Consider the following 20163-nt stretch of genomic DNA (forward strand, 5'->3'; position numbering starts at 1 on the left):
CATGTTTTATAAACTCCAATGTGCTAGGAGAATATTAATTGACATGTTATATTGTCAATATAAATATAAATAAATATTTATATAAAGATATAAAAATATAAATGGGATCCCGCATGTCTAGAGTCTCTGGTGAGGCTTCAGTGAGTGCCTCCAGGCCAGAACATCAGGTCATGGTTGGAGGATGTGCCCAGGTGATTGTTTGGCATCCAGTGGCTTACCCTGACCATTTCTCATAGAGCACACTCCTGAGAGCATGACCACAGACCACCCTCACCAGAACTATCTAAGGAGCTCATGAAAATGCAGACTTCCAGACCTTCTGATTTGGAAACCCCAGGGGGTGTGGCCCAGGAATCAAACTCTTTAACCAGCACCCCAGGCTTACCAGGTGACTCTGATACACACAAAAGTGTGAGAATCACAGATCCAATAGTGACCCCAAAACATTGGCTGATTTACTCCACAGACAGTACTTGGGCACTATCTTAGTCTATTTTGTGCTGATATAACAGAATACCTGAGACTTGGTAATTTGTAATGAATAGAAATTTATTGTTCATGGTTCTGGAGGCTGGGAAGTCCAAAATTCAGGGGCTGGCATATGGTGAGGGACTTTTTGCTACATCATCCCCTGGCAGAAAGTGGAAGAGCAGAGGGAGGGAGACACACAGGGAGAGAGAGAGAGAGAGAAGGAGGGGGTGGTGGCAAACTCATCCTTTAATAAGGAACCCATTCCCATGATAATGGCACTAATCCACTTATGAAGGCAGTGCCTCCATGAGTCAAACACCTCCCATTGGGACCCACCTCCCAATACTGTTGCATTGGGGGTCAGGTTTCCAACACATGAACTTTGGGGGACACATTCAAACTATAGCACAAATAGCTCCTATCTCCTGCCAGGAGCTATTTGTAGGGGACACTTCCTTGGCAGCAGGAGAGACACACAGATGAACAGCGTCCTCTGCTGTCATATAACAGGTATTTAATGAGACATGTAGCCAACACTAAAATCTGTAGGCTACATGAGGGGGCCAAGGGTTGATGATATTGCTAGCATTCTGCCCTGTTTCCTTCTCTGGGAAGCAAAGCTAAACGTACACATTACCTTATGTAGTCATCACCACGGCTCTGAAAGGTAAATAAGAAAACCTAGCCTCAGGGATGTTGAGTAAGTTGCCCAGGGTCCTATGAAATCAGTGAGTGGTGTGTCGTTAAATGTTTAACCACAGGCTGGGGTGGGAGAAGCCCTGATCTATGGAGTTTGCTGATTTCTATAATGCAAAAACTCATTGTGGTGGATTTTAAGCAACCAACATGCTGTCACTGAAGCAGAGATGGAGAGAGATGCCCATAATGGGCCCTTTTGAGCTGGTGTGAGCTGGCTTCAGAACTCCACTGTCTGCAGCTGTCAGTCACTCAGATAACTGTCAATGAGTGTCATCTGTGGACACACAGAGAAGAGAGGGAATCTTGTTTCTGCCCTCCTGACACCTCATTTCATGAGCATTTAATAAAGTTTGGATGTTTGTCCCCTCCAAATCTCATGTTGAAACATAATCCCCAATGTTGGAGGTGGGCCCTGGTGGGAGGCGAAGGCGATTGGATAATGGGGGCAGAGCCCTCATGAATGGGTTGGCACCATCCTGAATGACTTCTCAGTCCATGAGAGATATGGTGTTTAAAAGCCTGGGACCTCCCCCTTCTCTTTCTGGCTTTCACTCTTGCCATGTGACATGCCTGCTCCCACTTTGCCTTTTGCCATGATTAGAAGCTTCCTGAGGCCCTCATCAGAAGCTGAGCAGATGTTGGAGCCATGATTGCATACCTTGCAGAATCATGAGCCAATTCAACCTCTTTTCTTCATCAATTACCCAATCTCAGGTATTCCTTTACAGCAAAGAAAAATGGCACAATACAGCATCTACAATGTGCTTGGTACTATGTGAAGGAGATAATTAAGTATAATGAGGTCTCTACCTTCAGGGCGTAGAGTCCACCACGTCCTTGCTTGGCTTACTTTATCTAGTGGCTTGAGGCCCAGGAATGTCCAGTCACCACTGGCCACACCAGGAGGCTCCAGAACAGGGCTTTCTATGTCCAGGACAGGGATCTGAGGTTGCTGACATGGTGCAGGGGGTCACTGCAGGGCAGCATCTCACAGAGTTGAAGGGGGCTGCAGGGGTTCTGAGAGCTGCCCCTGCCTGTCCATCCCCACCCCTTCCCCACAGAGTCTTGGTTGAGAACCGAAGGGCCACAGTCCCTGCACACTTTGCTGAGGGGAGGCAGGGGTCCCCTGTGTCCAGGGTCTCTGTTGCTTGGACCATGCCTGCCAGCTGACACCCTCCCCATTTTCTGAAGAGTTCTGGCACCTTATATCAGGCAGGTCCCTCATAAACTAGAATGTGCTGCCTCACCAGTCTCAGGGCAGAGGGGTGTGTGGCTTCAGGGCTACAGGAGGCAGCTGCTGGAACTTGGAGCAGGACAACAGAGTATCCACCATACTAGGGTTAGCTGTCTAGGCTGGTTGTGGACAGCCTGGCTTGCCCAGGTGGGAGCAGTCAGGGTCAGCAAAGGCATCTCCCAGCTGGAGAGATGCCCAGGGGATGTTACAGAGAGCCTCGGGGTCCCTGCAGCAGGCTTAGGATTCAGCCGAAGCTCTGGCTGTAGGGCGAGGGAAAGAAGGCACTGAGAATCGAGTAACCTCAGTCATGCAGCAGCTGTTCTTGGGACAGACAGGCTGGGACACTCACGTCAAGGTCTGCCAGGATAGCATGCAGGCGGGGACAGGTGGCACTGGGGCGTGAAGGTGTCCAGGCATCCCTTCCTTTTCTCAGAGAGATTTCCTTGACTCAGCCTGTCTTTGACACACACGGGGGGATGGAGGATGTTGGGGGAAGGGAGCCACAGTGAGCCAATCACCCTGCACCGGAGCCTTCGGGGCTGGTTCCCTCCGAGCCTGTAAGTGTGAGTGTGTGTGCGCGAGTGTGTCTGTGTGTGCACCAGTGGGGATTTCTGTGATAGAAGCAGCCAGATTCCAGAGACAGAGAGAAGAGGAGGGGGAAGAACAAGAGAGGGGAGAAAATTGGGGGTGGGAGAGACAGACGGAGAGAACAGCGCGGGGGGCGGGGAGAGGGAGAGAGGTGGAGGGGAGAGCAGAGAGAGAGAGAGCGAGCCAGAGAGCAGAGAGGGAGGAAGAGAGAAAGCAAGAGAGCGGGAGGGTGCGCGGAGCGGAGCGGAGACAGAGCTCGCGGGCATGGGGTGAGAGCGGGAGGAAGCAGAGGCAGAGGCGGAGCAGGGGCGCAGGTGCCTGCAACCCAGGATCCCGGGGCGCTAAAGGCTTCGGGTTCTACCGCACGCTCAGTCGCTGGCTCCAGAGGTGCTGCTGGGGGCCAGGGTTCACTGCCGCGCGCCAGGTGCCTGCCCGTGAGGCGGCGCGGGGCTCCCGGGTGGCTGCGCGCCCAGACGCCTGCCCGGGAGGCCGCCTGAGGCTCCGGGGTGGCCGCGCGCCCTCCTGGGAGCCATGGCGGCTGGGGCCGGTGGTCGCCGGGCGGCGGCGGCGCCGAGGGGCTGAGCCGGCCGCGGGCAGCGCCATGGCGGCGCCGGGTTGCGGACCCTGAGCGCCGGCGCGGGGCGCGCACCATGAACTCGTGGGACGCGGGCCTGGCGGGGCTACTGGTGGGCACGATGGGCGTCTCGCTGCTGTCCAACGCGCTGGTGCTGCTCTGCCTGCTGCACAGCGCGGACATCCGCCGCCAGGCGCCGGCGCTCTTCACCCTGAACCTCACGTGCGGGAACCTGCTGTGCACCGTGGTCAACATGCCGCTCACGCTGGCCGGCGTCGTGGCGCAGCGGCAGCCGGCGGGCGACCGCCTGTGCCGCCTGGCTGCCTTCCTCGACACCTTCCTGGCTGCCAACTCCATGCTCAGCATGGCCGCGCTCAGCATCGACCGCTGGGTGGCCGTGGTCTTCCCGCTGAGCTACCGGGCCAAGATGCGCCTCCGCGACGCGGCGCTCATGGTGGCCTACACGTGGCTGCACGCGCTCACCTTCCCAGCCGCCGCGCTCGCCCTGTCCTGGCTCGGCTTCCACCAGCTGTACGCCTCGTGCACGCTGTGCAGCCGGCGGCCAGACGAGCGCCTGCGCTTCGCCGTCTTCACTGGCGCCTTCCACGCTCTCAGCTTCCTGCTCTCCTTCGTCGTGCTCTGCTGCACGTACCTCAAGGTGCTCAAGGTGGCCCGCTTCCATTGCAAGCGCATCGACGTGATCACCATGCAGACGCTGGTGCTGCTGGTGGACCTGCACCCCAGGTGAGCCGAGCGCAGCTAAGGCTCTGGGAACAGCCGCGCGGGATCTCGGCGGGAGTGGGAGGTCCCTAGCCCCAGGGGCTCTTTTCCACCGAGCCTCTGTTTCTTCTGAGAACTCGAGGGTGGGGAAAGCGGCCCAGCTGTGGGGCTTAAGGAGGTGCTTAGGGTATCAGCAAACCAGGGCCACAAAAAATGCGGGTGAGCCCATCTATACATCGGTTTTTGAAGCATCAGGGTAGAAATCACAGACAGTCAGAACTCTGTTGGGCTTCTTCATGCACATTTTCTGTGTTTGTAGCTTTCACTTTAAATGGCACATGGGAAGTCCGTGGTCTTTGTTCCCTATTAAAGACCTTCAAAGTGTTTGATTCTGGCCGAGAGGGCGGCCTCGATGCTTAGGGAGCTCCTTAAGAGCTTTTCAGACCCAAGTGTGTCGCTTCTCTGAGTCTTTCCCTTCTCGGGTGTGTGGCGCTGCCTCTGTCTCACGACTGTGTGTGTGTGTGTGTGTGTGTGTGTGTGTGTGTGTGTGAATTCTGATGGACTCGGGCTGCGTCCTTCTCTGTGGTGGGCCCTGAGGGGTGGGGTGGGGGGCTCTTCCTGCCCTCCCCAGAGAGCACTGTCCAATGTCTGCCTGACTTGGTGCCTAGAGGCTCCTGCAGAAGGAGTGTGCCCCAAGGCTCCTGGGGCTGAATCTGCCCCCACCTCCGTCGTCACGCTGGCTGCTGTTCTCAGGAGGGCAGATGGAGCTGGGCAAGCATGGGTACCCTCTGGGAACCCCTGCCATCGCAGGAGCCTGTCAGGGAGAGAAGGAGGGAACTCTTAGCTGCGCTGTCCTGAGCTCACCTCAGCTTTCCCCAGGAGAATAGGAAATCGAGGAGGGAAACAGCTGGCAGCGTCTGGACTCTGCTATTTTACATCCTGTTGTCCCAGGGGAAGGCAGGCTCCCTGCTCTGTGTCCTGGGACCCTAGATAAGGGGGTGCTGGGGTCCAGATGGTGTCGCAGGTGAGGCAGGCAGAGAGCTCTGACAGGGCCAGCGAGGGCCTTCCGTGTGGGAGAACCCTGGGAACCCAGGGGAGCCTCGGGGCAGAGGAAGCTCTATCCTCTGGTGGATATGTTCCACACCAGGGTTGAAGGGGACAGGCTGGAGGTGTCAGGCTGAGCATTCTGAGTATTTCCTGCACGAGAGCAGTAACAAGCAGTCCTTGACCTTCACAATGCCGACACATTGAAGGGCAAGTGTGCACGTGTTCATTGTCCCCCTGAGCACAGCCATTCCTGATTACACACTGGACCAATCTTCCAGCCACAGAATCCCCACAGATTCAGGAACAGAATGTACATGTGAGTGACTGAGAGCACATAGATACCAGGCCATGTAAACGTGGGAGCTCCACACACAATCTCATGTGTTCACACATAAACTGTATATGTACCAGACAGCTGGCCATGTGTACACAGGTTTACAGGAGTGACACGAGTGCATTCTGCCACAAAGACATACATTGGCTGTCACAGCACATGTCTCTGCATGGTTCAGTGTCCTTCAAGGAAATATTTGCAGCCACAGTTGCAGAGCTATTGCCCTTTCCATGACTCAGAGCTGAGAGGCTCTTCCTTAGAGGGTGCATCCTTAGCGCTTGGGCTGGGACTGCTCTTAGAAGATGTAGGGCAATGTTGTTTAACTCCCGGGACTAAAGACTCCTAGAGGGGGCCCTCTCACCATGAGTCTAACAGCGGAGGAGGGTTGAGCTGGGAGTGGAACCAGTTCTTATTTAGAGCAGTACAAACTGCATTCCCACTCTTCCTCCAACTTCCAGAAGAGGAGGGGCCGTGGTTCCTGTTCAGCCTATTTGGGATGTAGGGCCAGCTCCACTCCTGCAAATCCCTCTGGCCGATGTCAGGCCAGACACTGCAGAGAGAGTCCTGGGGTCTCAGGAGTGGAGGCAGCTACTCTGCTTGCCTTCGATTTCCCCTCCATTCCTCTGGGAGGACCTTGATCTCTTCCTAGCCCCGGGCTGCTTTGAAGAGCCCCTGCTCCCAGTGCCCTGGGACCCTCCAGGCCCAGTCTCATTGGAGAGAGAAAAGACTTCTGGGGCCGGGGTTGCCATCGGCCAGTGCCAACAGGCTCCCTGGACTAATGCTCCCTGAGGTCATGGAATAGTGGCAGACCTGATAGCACTGCCCCTTTAGTGAATACAAACTTGTCCTTCTCTGAGGGGTTGATCCCCGCCAAGCATGTGGGAGGGACAACACAGGAGGGGATGACCAGTCCTCAAGAGACCCTGACAGCCAGTCCACCAGCTTCTATCTTGACAGCACTAAACTCTTCCTCCCTACAAATGAGCAAGTACAGAGCTAGCTCAGGGGCTGCCCCAGGCACCACCAGTCTCAGGCAGTGAGCCTCTCAGGGCCATTCGGTGCTGAGAGCCTGTAGGACCCAGGAGTGCTGGTCTTGGGCAGCAGGAGCTGGCTTCTCCCTCTGGACAGCCAGGACAGCAGCCGGAGTCTTTGCTCACTGGAAGTTTTGTCAGCCTCCACACTGATGGCCTGCTAGGACTTAATTACAAAGGACCTGTTTTGAGGACCCAGGGTGGCATTTGTCTTTGTCAGGAAGCTCCTGGTGGTGTCTGCTCTACCTGCAGGATGTTTGGCACCATAAGTAGCAGTCCTCACCACTTTGCTTCAGCCACCTCCAAAATACCCGGGACCCTCTCTTCTTAATTCAATCTGGGACCCTGGCCCTGGGAAGCATTCCGCACTCCTGCCTTTCTGTGGTGATTTCTTGAGTTACGTTTCTGAAGCAGTTTGGAGTTTCTAATATTTGTTAAACACCTGGTGCTCCATCTGAATGAGCAGCATTCACTTCTCCCAAACCATAGCTGGGGACTAGTTATAGGCAGCCCCTCTCCCTGGTGCTCCCAGGCATGGCAGAGCAGGTGGGCCCCAGGGTATGGTTGCAGGGACCTTGCTCTTCCCTGACTCACTGGCTTGGCTTAGTGATTCAACAGAAACAGAATGTTGATGATGAGGTCTCAAAGGGAAGCAGTGCCAAACCTAACTGGAGCTTCCTCTGAGGCTGCCCCAGGCTCTGCTGGTTCCCCCAGTGTGTCCTCTGTGTCCTGTGAGCAATGTCTGCAGATGTTGCCTGAGTGGCTGACTCTGGAGGGTGTCAGAATTGTGGCTCAGTAGACAGGAACTACACTGTGCCCTTGACTTTACAGATGAGAAAATGAGAGACCCAATTTTCTAAGAGAAGAGAAGCACTCACCTAATTCAACAGATCTAGAAAGTGTCTCAAGCTAAGACTCACACTCAGGTCTGCCCCTAAGATTTATGGATGGAGCAAATAGTGCAAATGGAGGCTCACCAACTGTGTCTATAGAGACTTAGATGTTCTATATTCAGCTTACAAACTGTTAAATGTGTTCTGCCCTCCTGCCTTGGTGAATATACCTTTATAATGACCGGCAAGGCTGGGTTCGCATTTAGAATTCTCAGGCTCCTTGGGGATCAACCTCATATGTGCTGGGAGAGCCGAGCTGGCCCACCTGCCTTGCCTCCCACCCCAGCTCTAACCAGCACCACGAGGGGCCTCCCTTGCACACTGCACGTTGCACACCCATATTCCATGCACGTGTGTTGCTCACAAACACCACCCCTCAGGCGTCTAGCTGGGCACACAGATGGCACAGTCTATCCTCAGGAGGGTGGGACCAGGGGAGATGCCCACACATGTCTTGCAGGCAGGATGAGGGCGTTTGGGCAAAGAATTCCATGTTTTAGGCATTTAGAGCTTGGTTTGGAATGGAAAGTCGGGGCTGTAGGTAGGCACATCCCCTTAGCCCTATGAACTCTTTGTTGTGTGGGGAGGGATGAGGGACTCTTAATGTGCAGGGCCCAGGGCAGGGGTCCCTCTTGCTGGATTTGAGGGCCAGACTGCTTATGCCAGTGTCCTGACCCCAAACTCAGGGCTGTTGCCCTCCATCAGTCGGCTTGTTCCCTTGCCTTAAAAGCCAGAAAAACCAATCTGAGTCACTCCTTAAATACTCAGAGCGTGGGCTCTGGCTGGACTTTAGTTGTCTAGGGATCCTTCAGGACCCTGGCCCCTTGTGGAGAGAAGGGAGGTGTCTGTGGATGGAAGGTTTTAGCTGAGATCACCTCGTTGATTGACTTTTCAGATATTCCCAGAATGTGCCATCCCCTCTGCCCTATGACTGGAGCCGCTGGGGAACATCTCTTCCACCCCACATGTCATAATGCTGGAGGGCCTGTCTCCTTTTGTCTCAAGGAAACTGTTGTGTCACAGCCTCGGGACCTCTCCCCTCCCCCGCTCAGCCACACCAACACACATGCTCGCACTCTGGCTGAACAGTACCTGTCACAATGCTGGAGGGCCTGTCTCCTTTTGTCTCAAGGAAACTGTCATGTCACAGCCTTGGGACCTCCTCCCTCCCCCACTCAGCCACACCTGCACACATGCTCGCACTCTGACTGAACGTACCTGACCGGGTTGCCTCGGGAGAGCTTTGAACCTCACACGCTCTGCACCATAGATTCTGCCTGCAGGTCTGAGGACTCTGGGTACCACCACCAGGCCCAGGGATGTTTGAGAATGCCCGCCACTCAGTGATTCTATGGCAGGCAGTGGGGTCTCAGGGAGCCACCCCAGAACTCACTCAGGAGACCTGGGAAGAGCCCTGACTCTGTCCTGAATTCTCTGTGTAACCTTGGGCATGTTGTAAACTTCCCAGTCCTCAGTGTTCTCATCTGAATATAAGTAAAATAACAGCTCATAGGGCTGCAAGATTTCAAGGAGCTCAGTTTTGCAAAGCTATGGAGGGGGACAAAATGACAGCAAGTGCAAAGTGATGTTGTTCTGGGAGCGGGTGAGCTGTTCTCATACTGTGCTTAAATAATAATCATAATAATAAGCAAGAGGGCCGTGATGTTTCCCTCGGAGCCTGGGGATGGCTCTGCCTTGCTCACCTCTTGCCACCTCCCTGTTCTCACCTGGAAAGCAGGAGAGCCCCAGGCAGAGGAGATGGATTCATCCTTTTCTTTTGGAAGATTTCAGGAAATGAGTGATGTGGCTCCTGACTAGGAGCACCAGACTAGAAGCCAGTGACTGGATGCTAGCCCCACCTGCACTGTACTCCCTGAGTGGAAAAATCACTCTCTCTTTTGAGCCTCAGTTTCCCCCATCTGTGATCTGGGGTGCGTGGATGAGCCGACCTTTCATACTATACATGGCTGTGGAGTCTTTTAGCTGGTCTGTCCCAAAGCAGAGGCATGACCGGGCCCATGTGGATGTGAACCCCAGGCACAGCACCCACTGTGTAGACACCCTTTGGGCTCCATGGCAGGCCCGGTGCCATTAAGGTTAGGAAATCATGTCCACCAGGTCCCTGGAGGCCCAGGGAGGGTCACAGAGCCAGCACAAGCATCAGATCTCCACCTCAGGCCTCCTGACTCTTGGTTCACTCTTGTTGCACCTTTGGCACAGTCTCTGGTTACAGCTGTCTCTGTCAAATGCATAGGGCAGGAAGAGAACTTCTGCAGTGGGGGGAGCTCTGTGGCTTTGGAGGTGGTGCACATGGCCCCAGAGTCAGAAGGTCTGGGTTCAGGTCCTGCCATCACCTAGAGTGACGAACCGTCCTGGTTTGCCCGAGGTAGAGGAGGGATTCTCAGATCTGAGCCTTTTCCTTTTAAAACTTGGATAGTCTCCTGCAAACTGTTCAGGAACAGTCCCAGATAAACTGGAACAATTGGTCACCCTATCACCACCATTTTCCCACTGTGTGATCTTGGGCCAGTTTCTTAACACTTCTGTAATTTATATCTTCTCATCTGAAAAATGGGGACCATGATGATATCAGTCCCTCACTCACATAAATGTTGTGAGTTTTAAATAAATGAATAATTCCCCATCACGATATCTAGCATGGCACACATATTATAGACTCAAGAAATGTGAGTTGCTAATTAATATTAATTTCTAGAAATTAATTAGTAATATTAGTCATGAGTAATACATTTTCAGCCAGGACGAAATCTGTTTGTACCAAGCCCAACTCCAGTTCTCAACTCTTTAAATTCCTGGAAATGCAAAAGTCAGGGGGAAAAATCTTGGAAGAATTTTAGGAGGCTTCAGTCTAAACTAATGTGAAATTGTCCATCTGTGATAGGAAATCTAGTTAAAAGGAGTTTTGATTAAGTATCAAAATCATGAGTCTCCTGGCAGGCAGGGAAGGCTGCCCTGGCATTAGCGATGTACATGAACCTGGCTCATGAATATTCTCTCCACTGCTTGCATTTTTTTAACAGACTGCCTATTTTTGGAGCCAGGCCACTGCAGCTCAGGCTTGGCACTGCCAAGTTATCTTCACTTCCTGGGCAACTGTGTCCACAGTCTTCTTTCCTGTTCATTTTTGATCCTCTGGAAAGGTCCCACAGCAGAGTGGAGCAGAAACAGGGTTACAGTTGGAGGCACAGGTGGCTCTTGATTCCATCCTCAAAGCTATGTCATTGATTCCATGGGGATTTGGGAGTCTCTTAGCTTCTTCAAGCTTGGTCCCTGGAGGAACCAAGTGACTCCTTCAATGACCCCATCATGTGGTGTCCATAGCTCCAGGCAGGGATGAGGCTGTGGATGGAAGAAGCATGAAGAAGTGGAGGAAAGGAAGCCTCATGCCACATACTGTGTGCATGGAGTCCAGGCTGCCTCAGATGTAAAAGACCAGCTTTGAGTCATGCACGAGGGTTCAAATCCTGCCTCCACTTAAGCAAATCACTTGGCCTCACAGAGCTTATGCTTTTCATTTCTTCTTTTTTCTTCTTCTTCCTCTTCCTCTTCTTCTTCTTCTTCTTCTTCCTTTTCTTCTTTTTTGTTGTTGTCGTTGTTGAGACAAAGTTTCGCTTTTCTTGCCCAGGCTGAAGGGCAATGACACGGTCTCAGCTCACTGCAACCTCTGCCTCCTGGGTTCAAGTGATTCTCCTGTCTCAGCCTCCCAAGTAGCTGGGATTACAGGAGCCCACCACCACGCATGGCTAATTTTTGTATTTTTGGTACAGGCGAGGTTTCACCACGTTGGCCAGGCTGGTCTCAAACTCCCGACCTCAGGTGATCCACCCACTTCGGCCTCCCAAAGTGCTGGGATTACAGGTGTGAGCCACTGTGCCAGGCCGAGCTCATGGTTTTTCATTGTAAACCAGGGCAGGTAAAAACTTTCCTTGCAGGTAAAACACACCTGCCAGGATTAACTGTGGTAAAGAGAAGAATCTGAGATACTACTTAGAGAGTGGGGCACTCTGGAGCCAGCCCATAGCAGATGATCAGTGAATGATATGAGCAATAATAAGAGGTAATGTTTAATGTTTCTTTGTACTGACTTGGGCACTGTGCCGGTGGCTTTGTGTGCTTCACACATGGAATGCATTCCATGCATCTCTGTGCTTTATGCATTTAATTCTCAAAACAGCCTCTTGTAGCATTTTATTACATTATGTGTAATACACTAAAATATATGATGCATATTATTATTTTACACAGGAGGACCTTGAGGCTTAGTAATGTCACACTGCTTGCCCAAGGTCAATAGCTACAGCCAAGAGTTGACGCTGGGTCTTTCCGACTCCATAGTCAAGTTCTCACACTAGAGACTGCTGCCTGTGTTAGTAAATAGTGCCTCATCCTGACCTAGCAAGGGTGCCTCGTAGTTCACCTTCTCTCCTCTCTCACATGCAGTGTGCGGGAACGCTGTCTGGAGGAGCAGAAGCGGAGGCGACAGCGAGCCACCAAGAAGATCAGCACCTTCATAGGGACCTTCCTTGTGTGCTTCGCGCCCTATGTGATCACCAGGTGAGCCTGATTGGCAGGTGTGTCTTGGGACTTTGAAGAGTAAGGCAGGGCCCAGTGACCTTTAGCAGTGGCAGCCTCTCTTGGCCACACGTTCTTCTGCACGGTGTGTTGTGGGGGGCAAGAGTGAACTTGCCAGATTTAGTGAACAGGAGGCTGCTTGCTTTTCCTCTCCACCCTCGAATTCTTTTGGATTCAACTCAGAACCCAAAGGGTGTGAAAGACTCTCTCCCACTCGATTTCTAAATCACATAATTACACCCTTTATCCCAGGCTCCCAACCCCCAGGAGGCCCTAAAGAGAAGGAGAGGGTGAGAGAAGACAGAGGGAAACATCATCTTCCCCAAAACCCAGCTCCCCACATCCTGCTTTACTGCCCACTGAATGCAAGATGGCCCAACCCCCAGGTGTCCCCAACCTGAACACCCAGGTCAACAGCAAAGTCACCTGCCACCTGCACAGGGAGCAGGTAGCATGCTCTGTGTCCAGCCAGGTGGGCATACTTGTCCTGTGGCTCAGGGGCTCTTCCACTGTTAGGCCAGGTGCTGTGAGGCTTGTTGTGTTCTCTACCAGATCTCCAGATCCTCGAGCCAGCCAAGATTGCAATACACTAGCCTTGGGTTGTGTATCTCTCAAGCCAGCTTGCTCTAACTGGAGCACTCCCCACATGTGTTAGCCAGAAAGAAGGAAAATATATATTACTCAATCAGTTTTGTGCACTGGAGGGAAAATAAAAACTCCAGAACTTTGCATCTAAAGGGGCTTAACTAGTTGAGAAGTTGACAATAAAAAAGGAACTTTGATGGTTATTAGAAGGTGGATATGGAAGCTTTCATTGAATCTGGGAAGCAGCATCTGTGCAGGGTTTTCTGTGTGTGTGTGTGTGTGTACGTGTGTGTGTGTACGTGTGTGTGTGTGTGTGTGTGTAAGAGAGAGAGAGAGACCCAGAAAAAGAACAGATCCCAGCTGCCAGCAGCCCCCAGCATCCTCAGCTGCAGGAACCAGGAGGGGCACCCCTGCCTCACCATCACTCAGCATCTTGCACACCCCAGTGAGGAGGGGGCCCTGTGGACAGTTCGCCCTGTTTCCTCCCATTTGTCCTTACACTCAGCTGAAGCATGATTTGCTCTGGCCTCTGCCGCTGCTCCCAGTTCTTCTTTCTGCCATCCAGGAGGCTGTCCTCTACTCACAGGAGCCCCCTGTGGATTGCAGACACTGGGTCTGACTTCCTGGAGTCCAGCTCTCTTCTTCTTTTCCCCAGATAGACAACTCTGGGGTGCCTTCCCCTGTCTTCTGTGGCATGCTGCTTTCTCTAGGGGAGATCTAGTTAGCGTGTGTCTCATTTTGAACGTGGAACCAAGGCCTGTCTGCAGGTCTCTGGATGGGTCTGACTGGAGCAGAACTATTGGTTCTTCTTTCTAAAACTGTCCGCTAGACCTCAGCACCACCGACATTCTATGCCAGATACTTATTTGGTGCCAGGAGCTGTCCTGGGCATCATGGGGTGTTCAGCAGCATCCCTGGCCTCTACCCAGGGGATGCCAGTAGCACCTCCTAGTGAGGCAGGGGTACCTTTCCAGTCCTTCTAAATTTTGATAACTAAAAATGTCTTCAGACATCACCAAATGCTCCCTGGAGACCAGAATCACCCCTGGTTGAGAACCAGTAGTCTAGACCCACCACATCTAGCCAGGAAGCCACAGCTTACATCATTCAGGGTTTTCCACAAGACACAAAGCCCAGGCAACAGAGGAGAAAGGATTTCTGTTGCTCCCTAAGTGAGGCGTGGCAGAGGACTTAGCAGCATGACTCTGGAGTGTGCCTCTCCAGAGCCCAAACCTCAGCTCCCCCACATCCTGCTGTGTGACTTTGGGTCAGTGATGTGGCCTCTCTGGGCCTCCAGAAAGGAGTGCAGTGTTGTGAGGATCTAAGGACAGGGAACATGGAGACAGGCAGCACAGGCCTGCAGAGGACATCTGTGGTCTTCACTCTCCTTCCCTCTGGCACTTACAGCACCATCCACAGTGCCCCTGCCCCGGACTGGCTGCTGCACCAAGAGGGGATTTGATCCAGTGTGGGAAGGTGCATCAGACAGGGAGGGCACACAGAGTGCCTCCTCTTAGGTCCCAGAAGCCGGACAGCCGTGGGCTAATGAGGTGAATGGGCACCCTCAGAGGATAGGTGACACGGCTCCAACTTCAAACTATTGGACTTTTCTCTGGCTTAATTTCATTTCCCAACAACATTTTCCTTTTAAAAAAAAAATTACAGCTAGGTTCTCTCTAATAGTGCCCAGGAAGTAACGTTTCAGTAAAATGGATGATGATGGATTACAACTCAATATGCTCCCTCCAAATGGATTTGATGCATCTTGGGTTTTAAAAACATTCACAGAACAGTTCATCCTCCATGGGGATGAGCAGCACCTTACCCGGGAGAGAAGCAATGCCCAGGAAACCTCATGAGTACAAAATATGTCTGGCAGAACCCCGCCGGGCCCCACTGCCACCACCCCGGCTGCTCCTGCCTTGGCTTTCTCATGTGTGTGGAGGTGCCATCCTAAGAACACCTCCTAAAATGAGCACACACCCACATTCCAGGCCAGCACATCTCTAGAGCACCTTTTCTGTGGAGCATAAAAGAATCCCTCCAGCGGAGGCATGGGTTGGTGCGACCCCGGGAGTTCCCCTCTGCTGGGGACATTGATCTTGTAGTCCTCTAACCCAGATGGAGCACTGTGTCATGGGAAAGGCCCAGGCTCCACAGGTTCTGGGGCAGGAATGAGCTCTCACAGCTGGGGCTTCACGGACAAGCCTTGTGAAGTGGGCCTGGCTGTTCAGGGCAACTGTCCAGGGAGAAGGGACAGCATGAGCCAGGTCTAGAGCTGTGCTGTCCAGCACGGGGGCCACCAGCAACAGGTGGCTACAGGGCACTTGAAACATGGCCTGTCCAGATAGATATGCTATAGGTTTAAAAACACACGAGCTCTGAGACTTAGCATGACACACTCTATATATGAAATTAATACATTTTTGGCCAGGGTCAGCAGCTGACACCTGTCATCCCAGGGCTTTGGGAGGCCAAGGTGGGAGGATTACTTGAGGCCAGGGGTTTGAGACCAGTCAGGGCAACATAGTGAGACCTCTTTCTCTGAAAAAACATTTAAAATAATAACTAGTAATTTTATATAGAATTCATAGTGAAATGATAAAGTTAAATAAAATATGTAATTAAAATTAATTGCACCTGTTTCTATTCACTAGCGGAACATTTCAGGTGACACCCGTGCCTGCCTTCTCTCTCTGTCAGCCCTCACTGGCCTGTGGTCAGGGAAGTCAGGGGTGTGAGGTGTGCCAGTGCCCTTCTCCCCACCCCTCCTCCTAGACCTTGAGCTGCTCATATCATTCTTCAGTGGCCAGGACCTCCATGTCAGCCACTCTAAGAGGATGCTCAGAACTTCCTCCTCCACCTTTCTCTCCCGTCAGGGCCCTGCTCGATGTCAGGGTTTATCTGGGAATGTTTCCTGAGCAGTCAAATCAGTGTCTTCCTCCTTGGGGTCAGGAGGCCTGAAGGGAGGAGACATCAGACCCTGAAACAAGGCAGCAGGGAGAGGAGTGCAAGGCAAATAGAGCCTCCTGGTGGGTCCTCCTGCAATCACACCCCTCTTGGAGCCACCTGACCTTGCCAATCCCTCTACCCCCACATGGCTTCCACAATGTCCAACCAGATGCTTAGTCTTTAGGGTGGCTGGGCGCCCCCCTCCAGGCACACCCTGATGGGCTTCTGTGAATTTATATTTACTGCACCAGGGGCCGTCTGAGCCCCAGCTGTGCATGGGTGCGGCCAGGACCCCATCAGAGTTCTGCTTCCCCTGCCAGGACATGGACTGCCAGGCTGGGCAGGGTGTGGAGGGGACAGGATTAATCTCACAGTCACCTCCAGGGAGCCTGATGCAAACACTTCCATATTCCTTTGAGTCAGGGTTGAGAAACACACATTGCTTGTGAGGAGAAGCCAATTAATGGTAAGGAATAAATAAGATCGCCCTGCAAAGCATTCAGCACAGTGTGGACTTATCATCCACTCTGGAATCCGGATCACTGACATTTCCAGTAGCAATTTTTTATTTTTCTGCTGTTCTTTTCAAGATGATTTCCAAGTGTAGACATCACCAGTCTCAGAAGAAGCTGAAGGCAGACCTCTGAAATGTAGTTGAAGATTTAACTTCTTACAGAAAATGAGCCCTTGTGGAGAATCAAAAGCCATGGGTTTTGGAGGCAAAGGACCCTCTAAGCTATCATGTCATGCAGGGAGGGTGAGCTGGTTGCACCATGCAGACCAACTTTAACCCACTGCTGGTGATTAGCAGAGCACTGTGTTGAAAGCAATGCTGAAGCCAGGCTGGGATTAGCGGGAAAGTGGTAGGAATGGCTGGGAGAGGCACGCAAGCTTGAATTTTTTCTTCGGTTTACCAACTTGGCTTTACGTTAGAATCGCCTGGAGAGCTTTACATCCAAATCCATATCTGGACCTCACACTGAACCAGTTCAGTTAGACTCCCTTGGTGTGGGGCTGGGCATGGATGGCTTTAAGGCGCCTCAGATGATTCTAATTGCCAGTGTGCTGATAGCCATGTCTCTATTGCATCCCAACCCATTTTACTGCTGGAGGAACTGAGGACTGGGGTCAGGGAGTGTTTGAATAATTGCCCAGAGCTATGCATCTAGTCAGCAGTGGAACTGGACTTCCAACCTCATTGGGCTCTCCACCTGCCCCTCAGGCTCTCAGAGGCCTCTGGGGAGTCTTTGCAGACCCAGGTCTCCCCTTCTCTCTTGTGTAGATCTGTGGCTGTGGCATTAAAGCCCATGGCATGCAGAGAGTGCTCCCAAACCCCTTCCCCAGGATCCTCTACCCACTCCCAAGGCAGATCTCCCGAGGCTTGCTGAGCGAGTCATACTCCTGGACTCCCATCAGCCCACTGCACTGCAGCTGCAATCGTGGACTGCAGCCCTGGGGCAGGCAGAAGCCTGGGGGAACATCCAGGGGTAGGTCCTGGAAAGTTCTGGAGCTCCATATGGAGGAAGTCACTTCCTTGGCTGCACATACAGGCTCTCTTGAGAACAGCAGCCCGAGCTGCATCCCTCCAACCTGCCAGGTGCTCAGTGGTGGTGGCCCAGGGGCATTGAGCTCAGCTGCAGCCCCAGCACTAAAGAGGCAACACAGAAGATGTGGCAGGTGTGAACCCTGTTCCGAGTCAGATCCCTGAGATGGGAGACTCCTGGCCTAGATGGGATTAATGGGGACCAGGAGGCAGCCCTTGGGTGGAGCTTGTTTGAGCTAAGAAATGTATTACCGCAACAGGTTCAGCTGGATCTGACATTGCTGTGCCTTCCACAGCACTCCACAGTTTGCTCAGGTGTTTTTCTCCTGGGCCCTACAGCACCCCCAAGAGATGGACTGGGTGAGCTATGTGAGCTCCACTCTGCAAATGGGGGCACCAAGGCTCAGAGAGGAAAGAGACTGCACAGGTCATTTAGCTAGGAAGACTCAGGGAACCAGGCAGCCTGAGCCCATCTGCAGATGCCACTGGGCAGCTCCAGGGCCCCCTGGGCAGAAGGATGTCTCCCTTGCATGCAGCACCTCCTCATTGTTCTCAGCCTCCTCACTGTCCATAGAAATAAAAATCAAAACCCACCAAGGCAGTGACAGGCTGATCCCGGGGAATTCAGAAAGGAAAAGTAAGGACAAGCTCTATCTCCTTAATTAATTCAGGAATGTCCCTTCATTTTTAATCCTGTAAGTCCTCACTCTGTACCTGAAGCTGTACCAAAGCTGTCCAGACACCCTCTGCACCTAGTTAACATTCTCTTGGGTTTTTTTTGTTTTGTTTTGTTTTTTTGGGGGGGGGGGTTGTTTTTTTGTTTTTTTTGAGACAGAGTCTCACTTTGTTGCCCAGGCTGGAGTGCAATAGTGCGATCTCAGCTCACTGCAACGTCCATTTCCCTGGTTCAAGTGATTCTCCTGCCTCAGCCACCCGAGTAGCTGGGACTGCAGGTGCGCACCATCAGGCTGGGTGATTCTGATATTTTTAGTAGAGATGGGGTTTCACCATGTTGGCCAGGCTGGTCTTGAATTCCTGACCTCAGCTAATCCACCTGCATCGGCCTCCCAAAGTACTGGGATGACAGGCATGAGCCACCATGCCTGGCGCTAACATTCCCATTTTAAAGATGAGGAAACTGAGGCTCAGTCAGGTTCCAGCCTTCCCCAATTCCATCAAGTGACTCAGCCTCAGTTCTAGTGTTCTGCCTGAAACCGGCGGCCGTGCCCAGCCCCTCACAATGACCGCTCTGCTTCTTCTCTCAGCAGAAGCAAAGGTTCCTACTTTCCTCCCAGAGGGATGTGGGGAGACACGTTGAGGCACAACCCACTCAGAAACGGAATGCTGCAGTTTCCGAGATGACTGAAACCAAGTTGTTCATGTGTCACTTACACCCTTCATTGAGCTGTCAGCGCAGAAACTAATATTCCCCACAACTCCCCAGTGACTATCTAGGCAGCCAGCCTTGCCGCTTCCACCCGCCTTGTACCTTATAAATGGAGACGTGTCAAGAGTGTAGGTTGACGTCAGATGGCAGCTGGGAATGCTGGGAGCTGGGAGGCCAGGATATTGAGGAAGAGAGGAGGATTCTGCTGTAATATCTGCCACCCCTTTGAGTTGATGGAGAAGATCCCACTGGCTGGGCGGGGGATTCCCTTCTCTTCACATTTGCCTGTTAACTTTCTCAGATAGGAAAGCATAATTCTTGGGTCAAGTGTTTAAAAGAAACATTCCAGTGTTCCTGTAGGTTCTCAAGCTTTCTATTGGAGAGCATGAAGTCTTTATAACCATACCTGTCACTTAGTGAACACCTGCCAAGCACCTGGGGCTATCAGTGCATACCTTATTGCATCTGGGATAGCTTTAACAAGGTAAGTGCTAGAATCCTGGTCTCACAGAAGTTCAGAGAGGTGAGATGAGTTGCTCAAAGACATATGGGTAGGGAGTGACTGAGCCAAGAGTTAAAGGTCAGCGTCAGGCCAGTTGGCTATAACTCAGCCTTTAGGCCATGCCACAACACCAAAGACTGGGGCAGGCGCTGGAAACACAGAGAAGCCACATGTGTATGTTTTCGGCCTGATTTCCAGTAGGGCCACGCATAAGTACCATGACATGAACTCAGATGGCCTCCAAGCTCCTGTGAGTGAAGCAGGCATTTGAGTTTCTCTAGCAAAATTGGTGGGTTCCCCTGCAGTCATCCCCAGTCTCCCATGTCACTGACAGTAGTTTATGTAGCTGGAGTTCCCAAGAGACCATCAGCACTGGTAGCCAGAGCCACTGGCAGATGCAGTTGGCATCTCAGAAAGACAGGACATCCAACTCTACCAGCCAAAGAGCCGCCTGCACTTGTGTACTGGGGCACACGAGGCCACAGTGGGAAACATATTTGCAAAGCTGCACCTTCACTCTTAATAGAAGTCTGACACCTCCAAGTCACAGTCACACAGGCTCTGTGTCCTCAAAGCCCTAGGTCACAGAGGACTCTTCCCAGAGTCTTTGAGCAGCAGGGCCTGCACATCCACAACAGGTTCTCATCCAAAAGCTCAAATGACATATTTTCTGAATTAAAATCCACATGTCTGGAAGCATTTGTAAGGCTATGCTCTCCACAGCGATCTACGCTTACAAATAATTGTGGTTGTCATAAATCATTGGAATCAGCCTTTGAGGCACTTGAAAATCTGACAGCACCATTATTGTGGCTTTTCAAAGTCAGGAAAATGTGTAGATGGGAGAGGGGTCTCATATGCAGGGGATTCCCAAAGATTGATATTCTATTAATAAAATGACTTCTCCATTCTGTCTCATAAAAATTTAAAGCATCAGCTCATTACTTCAAATATGCAGGTCTTCAAATACACAAGCTGAGTTCTCCAGAAGTCTTGGGAAGACCCTGGGC

At 52.2% G+C, this 20163-nt stretch overlaps 1 protein-coding gene across 1 annotated transcript in view, besides 4 other annotated features; it reads left to right on the forward strand.

Annotated features, from left to right (window-relative positions):
- Positions 2798-3335: an enhancer, noted in NCBI's record as "H3K4me1 hESC enhancer chr10:125425079-125425616 (GRCh37/hg19 assembly coordinates)". NCBI's record gives its function as "activates a minimal SCP1, AML or CMV promoter by ChIP-STARR-seq in naive H9 embryonic stem cells {active_cell/tissue: H9 hESC(naive)}" and the evidence as "EXISTENCE:reporter gene assay evidence [ECO:0000049][PMID:30033119]".
- Positions 3336-3874: an enhancer, noted in NCBI's record as "H3K27ac-H3K4me1 hESC enhancer chr10:125425617-125426155 (GRCh37/hg19 assembly coordinates)". NCBI's record gives its function as "activates a minimal SCP1, AML or CMV promoter by ChIP-STARR-seq in naive and primed H9 embryonic stem cells {active_cell/tissue: H9 hESC(naive and primed)}" and the evidence as "EXISTENCE:reporter gene assay evidence [ECO:0000049][PMID:30033119]".
- GPR26 (G protein-coupled receptor 26) overlaps positions 3590-20163 on the forward strand; it is a 31045-nt gene continuing 14471 nt past the window's right edge. Inside the window, exons 1-2 of the mRNA NM_153442.4 lie at positions 3590-4310; positions 12053-12166. Coding sequence (NP_703143.1) covers positions 3643-4310; positions 12053-12166 — 782 coding nt within the window. The 5' untranslated portion in view covers positions 3590-3642. The remainder of the gene's footprint in view (positions 4311-12052; positions 12167-20163) is intronic.
- Positions 3875-4412: an enhancer, noted in NCBI's record as "H3K27ac-H3K4me1 hESC enhancer chr10:125426156-125426693 (GRCh37/hg19 assembly coordinates)". NCBI's record gives its function as "activates a minimal SCP1, AML or CMV promoter by ChIP-STARR-seq in naive and primed H9 embryonic stem cells {active_cell/tissue: H9 hESC(naive and primed)}" and the evidence as "EXISTENCE:reporter gene assay evidence [ECO:0000049][PMID:30033119]".
- Positions 8264-8765: an enhancer, noted in NCBI's record as "H3K4me1 hESC enhancer chr10:125430545-125431046 (GRCh37/hg19 assembly coordinates)". NCBI's record gives its function as "activates a minimal SCP1, AML or CMV promoter by ChIP-STARR-seq in primed H9 embryonic stem cells {active_cell/tissue: H9 hESC(primed)}" and the evidence as "EXISTENCE:reporter gene assay evidence [ECO:0000049][PMID:30033119]".

This window comes from Homo sapiens, chromosome 10 (assembly GCF_000001405.40).
Source record: "Homo sapiens chromosome 10, GRCh38.p14 Primary Assembly".
Lineage (NCBI taxonomy): Eukaryota > Metazoa > Chordata > Mammalia > Primates > Hominidae > Homo > Homo sapiens.